Here is an 11,235-nt window from a genome sequence, read left to right as displayed (position 1 = left end):
TTATAAAAAGGACTTAAAGGGCAAGTGGGGAGGAAATTTACCTGGTATTAAACTGTATGGCTTAAAGTTGTTTAAGGCCTGCTTCCATTCTGATTGGTCTGTGCTGGTTTTTAAATGTTATCAGTTTTATTCCTGAAATAATGTTGATAATTCTAAAGTTTCACAATGGCCTTCCACTCACAACAATATAACAAACCTCAGATTCACGCATTTTTCCTCTCCAACCTACTGAAAATTTTCTATATAATTCAATAAAACTCATGTATATCAGTGCTCACAAGAAAGAAAATAAATTCCAGGGGCTACAAACAAAAGCACTGGAAACTGGAATCCACAGTGACAAGCTGGCAATGACACCCTCGTTTGTTATCTGAAGACCTTTGGCTAAAGAGAGGACCATGATCAGAATACTTGACGCCAAGGAGACAAGATGCTGGGCTCACTCCAAACAGTGAAATAAAAGAGGTTCTGCTGACCAAATCCAGGAGCCTTCAATGAAAAAGTGAGCTAGCAAATGTCTTCCCACCGGAAAAGGACTCTACAGTGTAACTTACAAGCCACAGGCATTACAGTCAAGTGAGAAGAAAAGAAATAGGATGTTTTCTTGAGAAATTGTAGCCCTAAACCTGACATCATTGGGTCATAGGGTTCAAATTTATACAAAAATTCAATAAAATCATTTAAAGTGATCACATATTCCTGGCATCTTAAGCACACGGTAGAAGCAAAAGCAAATCTTTTCTAGAGAAAGGTTTCCTCAAGAAAGTCAATGTACACATTCTTCAAGTGTACTACAAACCTGGGTAATCTGGAAGATGTATTCAAAATTTTTTAAAATTATAAATACATAACAAACAATTCGCCACGAATAAGGGTCAGATGAAACAATGAATAGCCACAGATCTGGATATAAACTAAATTGGGTTTTAAAATATGAAGAAATACATGAGAACATTAACAAGATAAACAAGTAATAAGGTTCAATAAAAATTAAAAAGCAGACTGATTTGAAAAATGACTGCTTAGAACATCTTGTAATACCTAATTCTATTGAAATAAAATCTGTCTTTAAGTTGAACATAAAATTAGAATTGAAAGAATATTAGAGAAACAGAAACAAGACTTGAAAAAGAGACATAAAAAATCCAAGCAATATAAATAAAAAAAAAATTCTATACTAAACCACAGTGTAATGAAACTGCAAGACATCAAAGTCAAAAATCTTGAGAGTAGAAGAAAAATTGAGCCACAGACAGAAGGAGAGTGATAAGCCACAAAAAGAATAGTTGGCCTAACAGCAGATTTACCAGCAGAAGAGAAGAAGTCAGAAGATAAGAAATAACACATCCCAATTACTTAAAGAAAATAACTATAAACTTAAAATTGTACACAATGCCAAGTAATCATTTAAAACCAAGTAAAAATAAATAAATTTTTGAATAAAAACTTCGGGCTTACCCCTAACAGATGGACATTAAGGAAACTTAAAAGATATGCTTCAAAAAGAAGGAAAATGATGCTACAATGATGATCTGAAATGGGAGAAATAATGAACAGAAACAAATTAGCAAATAGATTTTGAATAAAAAATAATTGACTCTTTATAGCAATCATAATATCTGAATTCTGGAATTAAAAGATATATTGGCCTGAAATGTCAGAAACTTGTGAGATAGACGAGCATAGAGTTACAGTGGTCTAAGGTATTTAGATTGCGTGGGAGGAGAAAGAAACAATGATTAATGTTTGATTTTATGCACACATAACAAAAACTTAAGAACAAACACTGACGAAATTGAATTAGCAATGTAGTTCTCAAAGATTAGGAGAGAAAACAAAATAAATGAAGAACAAAATAAAATTCAGGCCAAAAAAACACAAAAAGAAACACAGGAAAAGTAAGAAAAACACCATGCATAAAATAAAATAATAGAAGTTATTTTTAAAATCTTATTAATGACAATAAATGTAAAAGGAACAAACCACATTTTCTCAACATAGTAAATTTAATATTGAATTAAGGAAAACCTCCATATATGGGAAATACTTTTTAGAAAGCTAAATAGCTCATAGATTGAGATGTAACATTAACAGAAATTTTGAAAATAGAGAAAGCAATAATGATAAAAATGACACTAAATTCAAGGTTGGTAAAAGAAAATTTTAGCAGTACCTAAAAAATCCTTAAAATTATAGATACATATGTAATATAGATAGATAGCTGTTTTCCTAAATGTTTATATTAGAACATAAAGAAATAATATATGAGCTAAACATCCAACAAAAAATATTTTTAAAAGAACAACATAAAATTTAGTAAATACGCAATATCCGGCATGATTAATTTTTTAAAAAAGACAAAAGTAATGTCTTTAAAATTTAAGGTGACAGAAGTAACCAATAACATGAGTTATTTTTTAAGAGCAAGTAAATATTAAAATATTTGTGATAAATTTGAAATTTGATCAATATAGACATATTTCTGAAAAAGATAACAAAGAAACTGATATATGAGAAAAATATCACTGACTGTTCCCGTAATCATTAAAGAAATTTATTATCCAAAAGCTCAATCATTGAAAGTGCAAATCAACACTAAATTTAGATGGTTTTACAGGTTCTACTCAACTCCCATGAGAAATAAAATATCAATAGTTCTACTCAACTCCCATGAGAAATAAAATATCAATAGTTCTACTCAAGTCCCATGAGAAATAAAATACCAATATTACAAAAATTCCCCTGGAAAACAGAGGAAAAAGAATACTTTCTAAATAACTTAAAAAATCAAGACTAGTTTTAGTACCATAATTGGACAATGGCAGTTAAAAATAATATTCCACAAAATTTTATTTTCACATAGATATAAATATTTAAAACAATAATTTCTGGAAAAAATCCAGTAAAGTGTTAAAAAATATTACTACCAAATTGAATTCCTGCTCATGTTTAACAAAATGTTGGCAGTATTAGCAACTACAGAGAAACAAAAGAATGAAACGAAAAGTATTGGTATTGCAGAGGTCAAAAGAAAATGCCATTAGGAGTAGACAATATGATTGCCTATTGTTCACATACAAAATCCAAACACTTTTGAATTGATTATTTTAGGTTTAAGATTTAAACGCCCAGGAACAGGCTCATGCATGGATGGAAACTCTATAAACGACAAAATAGTACTACAGTTCAGTGGGGAGAGGATGGACTATTCAACAAATTATATTGGGATGACTTGTATCAATATGGAAAGAAAGAAAAATATATTGACATATTCAAGATATAAAAATCAATTCAAGATATAAAAATCATTACCAACATAAGCACAAAATTAACTTTTAAGCAAAAATATAGAATTACACCTATACGTCTTCAGAATAGGGAAAATTCTCTTCAACAAGATAAAAAAAGTGCAAAATGTAACAAATAAGAATGATTATTTTGACCACACAAAAACTAATAGTATACATTCACCAAGAAATGCACTCCTCAAGAAAATGTAAAACTAAGAAAGAAACCAGAAAATGTTTGCCACACATAAAATAGACAATAGCTACTATCTAAAATAGGTAAAGAATTTTTTAAAAAAGAACATTCATAATAGTATTGACTGTAATAATGACTGTAAACTACACAAATATTGATCATGAATTGAGCGTAGGACTATACTGTGTTGTATTCATACCTTAAAAAGTAATGAACTAGTGCAACACTACATTTTTTTCGACAAAGATGGATCTCATAATCCTAGTATAATAAAAAAATCTAGATTCCAAAGAATGCACACAGTTTATTTGCATATAATTGAAACATTAAAAATAATACCATATATTCATCAAAGAAACCCACATATGTAGTAAGTACAGACAGAACTATGTGGAAATAATAAAGTCTAAATTTAAGTTACTGTTTAACCCAGAACAAACAGAAAGATTTTTGGTAAAGTGCTTCAGTGTTTTCAATTGTATTGGTAATGTTTCATTACTTAGTATGGACAGGGACTATATAATACTTACTATATTGTTTGTACGTTAGTATTTTCATACATTAAGATTTTAATTATGTTATAATAAATTATAAACACAAAACTCATTTATTTACTCACAGCTACTACTTATTTTGGAGAAATTCTGTCAAAGGGAAAACAAACTACCAGGTTCCAAAAGGCTGGACATTTCTGGTGATATGGAAATCTAGATGATGAGCTTGGTCAATGTGGTAACTGCTTTTCTTGTCAGAAGCTTCTTATTTAATCAGTAAAATATTTAAATATTTATATTTGTCATTTTAATTTCCTAATTGTAATATCACCATGTAGAAATTTATGCAGTTATATTTTATTATGCAAATTGGATTTAAAAAAAAAACTACAAAGCAATTAAAGTTCAAAAAACCAGAAAATTTAAATGTTATTTCTCCATGGTTCCCAGCATAGATTCTGATTCCTTCAGAATTTATCCATGTTGATTATAATTGGTGTTTTAAAATTTTTTTTGTTATTTTAAAAAACCAAGAGGAGAATGCAAATTTATCAACATTAAGGTTGCATACACTAATTAAAATTCTTTATTTCTTTGTTTTGTCTATTACTATATCAATTCAATAAGAGTAACTCATGATGTTCATGCTAATTAGGAACTTTAATTGAAAATTTATAAATGTCTCTTTGACAATGAATGATTATTTCATAAATGCAGTCTGTTTAGTAATCAGCATATTTTATATCAAAAGGTACAGAAAAGAATATTAACTAAAATTTTGCTTGCTAATATCAGTTTTGAGAATCACCGAACCATCAATCATCATATGCAACTCCATTCTTAATTTTGTAATGATCAAAACAACTTAAAAAATATTACCAGCTTCCAGCAAGATCAACTTATAAGTTATTTAAGAATTTTTCTGCCTTTTCACAGGGAAACCATGTATGATAATGAGGGAAAACCACACAGTGAATAGTAAACCACAAACTGCTTGATTGGCCAAATTACAGAACAGAAAAAAACAAAAAATACGAACTATATGAAAATGCTATATAAAGCTATTAAGACCATCAGGGCTGGGTAAGAACTCATAAAGCAATAAACCAAAGCAGTGATATTGAGTCAGAAAAGAATTTGAAGAAGAGAAAGGGTCTAGTAGAGGAAGATGTCGTAAGTTTCCAGAAAATGTACACTCTAAAATAAGAGCACTCCACTTTATTTAGAACTGCTATGAGATGGGCTGAGATTGAAAAAAGGGAAAATACTTAGAGACATGAGAGGAAAAGTAATACAACGTTCAGCATCTCACCGGTGACAGATCTCAAAAGGCGAACAAAAACAGTTTCTGAAGCAAATGGATCACTTGGGAAGACAGGAGCCACTCTGCTTGGTAACAGTGGCCAGTGAAAGAATGAGCACACAGGGCTGATTGAGAAGGCTCTGAAATGTGTAAAGGTCTGAAATATGAAATACACAATTATGCACAGAGGTTTCACATTTTTAAAAACAATAGTTTATCTTCATAGCAACTGAGAAGAGAGCACTTGAACTAAAAAATCAACAAAGCTAACCTGCCTCTTCCAACATTGGAATTGCCTACTCATTTCTATAGATCATTTATTCTAAAATAAATAAAAAGGGTTGTGTGGCATCCATACACGGAAAATATATGAGAAAAGAGCAATGAAATTTTCCTACAGGTGAGGGTCAGCAAATTTCTCTGTAAAAGACCTAAATAAAGTAAAAACTAAACAGAAATAATAAGAGATAAAAAGGATCAGTGAGCAAAGCTGAGGAACACATGCAAGCCATAGAAAAAAAAAACCGCAATAGTTGGACAATAAAGAAATACACATGTTAAACGAGCACATCAACATACCACAAAAAATACAACAAATGCACCAGCAGAATAGACTGCAGTATAGTATAGTATATTGTATATTATTTACATATATTATTACATATATTATTGTGTATTATATGCTACATGTATATATGTTTTATATAGTACACTATATTATATAATAGTATACTAGCATATACTCCCACACAAACCAAAATAAAAAGCTGTATAATCTACAGAATGATAACTTTTCTTCAACGTATCAGAAAGCTGATGTAATAGGGTAGCTACCCACATCTAAGGAAAGATATGCACCTCCAGGGAGAAACAGAATTTCAGTAATCACCTATGGAAGAAGGTGGAACACCAGGTCTCAATACATGTGGGTAGGAATAATTCAGCTAAAAATTGTATTCGATTGCTTAAGGAGTGAGAGTCAGATAAAGCGATTGTATGGAACACCAATGAGCTATAGACCCAAGGAAAGTTGATATTCCACTGTAGGTTTTCCTCCAACAACCTACTGTGTGCCCATGAGAAGGAGCAGCATCAAAGAGAGGAGAATACTTGTTGCAGTCCTGGAGGATGGTGAAGCTGCTGCTGGAGAGAATGAAACAGCACCCAGTTACTTCTCCCGTAAGTAACAAAAGCTTCTGCCTCTGAAGAAAGGCAACAAGCACCATCAACCAGAGAGTAGATGAAGACTCACAATGATTGGTGGGAGGGTAAAAGTAAATGTTCTCTACTCCTCAGAGAGTTGCAGAAAACCATCCTGGACCCAGGAAATTAAAGCTCCCCTACTGCTGGGATGAGCAGGGTCACTTGGAAACTCTACCTCTGAAACCATGACACAGAGCCTAAGAAAGTGACTAAACAAGGAAAACAGAATCCCCCCACCTTTGTCGCCCAGGCTACCAAGCACCAAGTACCAAGGAATTTCTACTTTGGTGGAAAGAAAAGGAACCTGAAACTAGATCCTCTCTTAGGTCTAAATATGAAGGCAAACTTGGAGCTGTGGTTGGGGAGGAACATTGAGAAAAATGCTCAGGAAAGTTATCCAGAATCCAAGCACAAGTTAACGCTGGAGGAATTTGAAGACAGCAGTACACTGAAGGCAGACATGGAAACAGCTAATTGCAAACCCAGACTGACTTTAACTAGATTGACTTAATCCTCCCTACCTCATCACTAATAGCATAACAGAGAATAAGCATGCCCATTTCCAGGCATAAATGCTACTTACTACAATGTCTAATATATTGTCATTTTACACTATGAACATCAATCAAAAATTATAAAATTTAAAAAGACAGAAAGTACTTCCAATAGAAAAAAGCAATCAACAGAATTAGACACAGAGATGATATAGATATTGAAACTATCCCTAAGAGAATACAAAATAACTATGAACAACATGTAACTGTAATAAATTACCACCAAATTGGTTAAAAACACAAATGTGTTCTCTTATAGTTCTGCATGTCAGATCCAAAATGTGTCTTTCTGGGCTAAAATCAAGGTATTGGCAGGATAATAGTGCTTTCTAGGGGCTCTTGGCGAAGAATAACTGTTCCTGCCTTTTCCGACTTCTAGAGGTTGACTTCATTCTTTTGCTCCATGCCTTCTTTTATCATGGAAGCCAGGAATGACTTGGCTTATAGTGCTCCGACTCTTCTACCTCCCTCTTTTGCACTGAAGAACCCTTATATTGGGCCCACCCAGATAATCCAGGATAATCTTCCTATTTTGAATTCATTTGTTTAGCTGCCTTAATTCCATCTGCAAACTTAATTCCTATTAACTGTATAACACATTTGAAGGCTCCAGAGATTAGGATATGGATTTCTTCAGGGGTCATTGTTTTGCTTACCGCATAGGAAATAAAAAATACGCTAAGAGAGATGAAGAATGCCTCTAACAACTTCATCAGTCAACATGACACAACTGAGGAATGAATCAGTGAACTTTAAAACTGTTTAATAGAAATTACCCAAACTGAGTGATATAATAGACTTTGGAGACTCAGAAGCACGGGTGTAGGAGGGAGGTAAAGAATAAAAAACTACATATTGGGTACAATGTATAATAGTCAGGTGACGAGTGCACTAAAATCTCAGAATTCAGCACTGTAGAATTCATGCATGTAACCAAAAACCACTTGTACCCCCAAAGCTACTGAAATAAAAACAAGAAATTACCCAAATTGAAATACAATGGAAAAAATAAAAAGAGTGGTTGAGGGTGGGGACACAGTGTGTCCACAAGCTGTGAAACATCACCCAAAGGTGTAACTTATATGTAATGACAATTCTAGAAGGCAAAGAGAGAACATGGGCCAAAACAAATATGTGAAGAGATAGTAGCTGAGAATTTTTCAAATAAAATGAAAATATCAAAGCATGAATTCAAGAAGTTTAGCAAACATCAAGCCAGATAAATACAAAAAAAAGGAAAGAACAACACTGGGATACTTGATATTCAAATTGCTATGTTTGCCAAAGCAGAAAGCATTACAAAAGAATAAAGGTAAGAATTAGAGGAAACTCCTCATAAGAAATTATGCAACCTAGAAGACAATGGTGTGGCATCTTTAAATTGTGAAAAGAAAAAATAATTGTTATTCCAAAATTCTACAGTCACAAATTGTATTTTAAAAATTAAGAATAAGGAAAATATTTTTCAGACAAGCAAAATCAAAGAAAATTCATCAATTAAACATTCATTACAAGACAAATAAATTTCTTGAAGCAGAAGGATAATACCAAAGTTTGATCTACAAAGATATTATTCCCACAAACGATAAAGTAAAGGTATATATAATTTTTTTCCTTCTTTCAAATAGCAATAAAAAATTATTGGCTGTCAGGCCAGGCACAGTGACCCACAACTATAATCCCAGAACTTTAGGAAGCCAAGGCAGGAGGCTCCCTTGAGACAAGGAGTCCAAAACCTGCAATCCCTGCACTTTGGGAGACAGAGGCGGGCAGATCACTTGAGGTCAGGAGTTCGAGATCAGCCTGGCCAACATGGTGAAACCCCATCTCTACTAAAAACAAAAATTATCTGGGCCTAGTGGCACATGCCTGTAATCGTAGCTACTCGGGAGGCTGAGGTGGGAGAATCACTTGAACCCGGGAGGCGGAGGTGGCAGTGAGCTGAGATTATGCTACTACACACCAGCCTGGGCAACAGAGCGAGAATCTGTCTCAAAAAAATAAATAAATAAAATCAGCCAGGCATGGTGGTTCATGCTTGTCATCTTAGCTACCTGGGAGGCTGAGGTGAGAGCATTACTTTATCCAGAAATTTGAGGCTGCAATGAGCTACAAGAGAGGCTTTTAAGTCTGTGCTCTGTTTTTGAGTCTTCTTGCCTAGGCTATGAGCTCTTCCGCTGTTAATATTTGTATCTCAGCACCTAGTATAGTGTCTGGCTCATAGAACACATCTGATGAATTAATGAGCTGTGAAACTCCAAAATTTAACATCTTCAAGCTTTTCTCCTCATCTTACCATATGATATGTTCCTTCCAGAGTCCCTCACATTTTACTATATGCTTGTAGATTTTCTCCGTATTGAAGAACCATCATTTAGGGCTTGGTTCATTGAGTCATACTCTGTCATTACTCATTATTAAATATTTCCAAGAAGGAGATTACTAATGCAGAAAAAATTTGATTTATCTTTCCAGGAATAAAAGGGCATAAGCCATGGTGGAACAATCAATAAAACATTCTTTCAGATAATTCATAACACTAAAAGAAGGCATAAAAAGCAAAGTGTTTACATTTTGCATTGTAAAATATAACACTAGTGTTGAAAATATCCATCCACGAAGATGATTTATTGAATAAAGGTTTACATGTAAATTCCATATCATTATTTAAAGAAGCAGTTAGTTGTATAAAAAAAAATTGTTGGGAATCTCATTATAGGAAAAAATATCCTGGCACTGCTGCATCTAAGAACCATAACTCTTGCTGGGAAGGTATATTAATCAGAATTCCCATAAGCTTTAAACTATTTAAAAAATATTTCTCAGACCGTTTGTCTCAAAAATGTTTGAGAAGCATCGCGTAGCCATGGAAGGTGACTTCAAAAGAATGGACCAGAGAACAAGTGAGCAGATTGCAGATCTGTGCTAAGGACCTCGCAGATATTCGAGTTAATCCAAGAGTTTATTAGTGGGGACATTTTGAACATTGATTAGTATATCCCTTAGAAAGCTTCCGCTGAAACAAATAAAAACCACTTAAAGATCATTTACACCCACATGGGGATTTTATTGTCAGGTTACCCTGTGTCTCTCCGAAACCAAGGCAAGAATGCCTTGAGAGTTCAGGAAAGTAGAAAATGGATGGACTCAGCTGTTCTTTCTCCATCTCTCAATTCTACTTCTCTTTGCACCTGCTCCTTTGTCTCTCACTGTTCCCCAGTCTGCACGGCCATTCGTAGCCCGGAGTATACCACAGACAGCCCAAGTCCCATAAAAAGACTCCTTTAGGTGTGATTTCAGATGTCTGAATGTGGGGTGCAATTTGCCTCAGTCTTAATGGGCTTCCCCCTCTTGGCAGAAGGCCTGCTAGTGAAAAGGGAGTGATGAGAGGGCAGCCACATTTTACAAAGTGGCCCCGGGATAAGTGAGAGGGAGTGCTAACTGTCTCTATCAACAAACTCTTAGCATACGGCGGCACTACTTCCTAGCAGATGTGGAGTAACTTGTTCTGCAGTGTAGTGGATCAGGTTGACCATTCTCCGTGGAAGGGGTGAGTGAGAAGAGGCGGCGAAGCCCACAGAGGTGGTAGAAAGAGCATCCAGGAGGCAGGGGTCTTTCCCTCAACTTCCTGTCCTCTTTTCATTTTCCCCCAAGAACATATCCAAATAAATAATCCCAAAAAGGATGGCCCTGGAACTCCAAACGATTTATTTATTTTCAAAAGTTTAATCTAGGAGTAGGTACTATGGCACAGTGATCAAAATTAGACAGACCCAACTACAAAGGTTTAATTTACCACTTACTGCTTACGTGAACAAAGGGCTCAACCTCTGTCAGCTTCAGTTTCTGATGTGTTTAATGGGGACTGTCCAGGACTGAATGATATGATCTGTTTAAAGCCCCTGCCTAGGGCCTGGTGCATGGCAAATGCTCCCACACAGCTTACTCTAATGAGCACTAGACTAGCAATTTAGGAAAATTGTGGCTTTTATTTCTCTGTGTATTGTTGTGCCCTATTAATTATGGTTTGGAAAATTGCTCACATTTACATTACCCCTAATTATATTAACAACTGAACCTGGATAATTATGCCAATAACTGAATGACCCATTTTGGATGACCTGTTTTGTGAATTAGTAAATTGTGTGAACAAGCATAGGAGAATGAAGGCATCTACAATTGCTTTGTGTATTTATTT

At 34.1% G+C, this 11,235-nt stretch overlaps 1 annotated feature.

Moving 5' to 3' along the window:
- Nucleotides 8,638–9,837: an enhancer, noted in NCBI's record as "P300/CBP strongly-dependent group 1 enhancer chr6:164800638-164801837 (GRCh37/hg19 assembly coordinates)". NCBI's record gives its function as "activates an origin of replication core promoter dependent on BRD2, BRD4, P300/CBP, MED14 and CDK7 cofactors, with strong dependence on P300/CBP, by STARR-seq in HCT116 cells {active_cell/tissue: HCT116}" and the evidence as "EXISTENCE:reporter gene assay evidence [ECO:0000049][PMID:35650434]".

Source organism: Homo sapiens, chromosome 6 (genome assembly GCF_000001405.40).
Source record: "Homo sapiens chromosome 6, GRCh38.p14 Primary Assembly".
Lineage (NCBI taxonomy): Eukaryota > Metazoa > Chordata > Mammalia > Primates > Hominidae > Homo > Homo sapiens.
The sequence above is the reverse complement of the archived record's forward strand: the minus strand, read 5'-3'. Positions and strand labels throughout refer to the sequence as shown.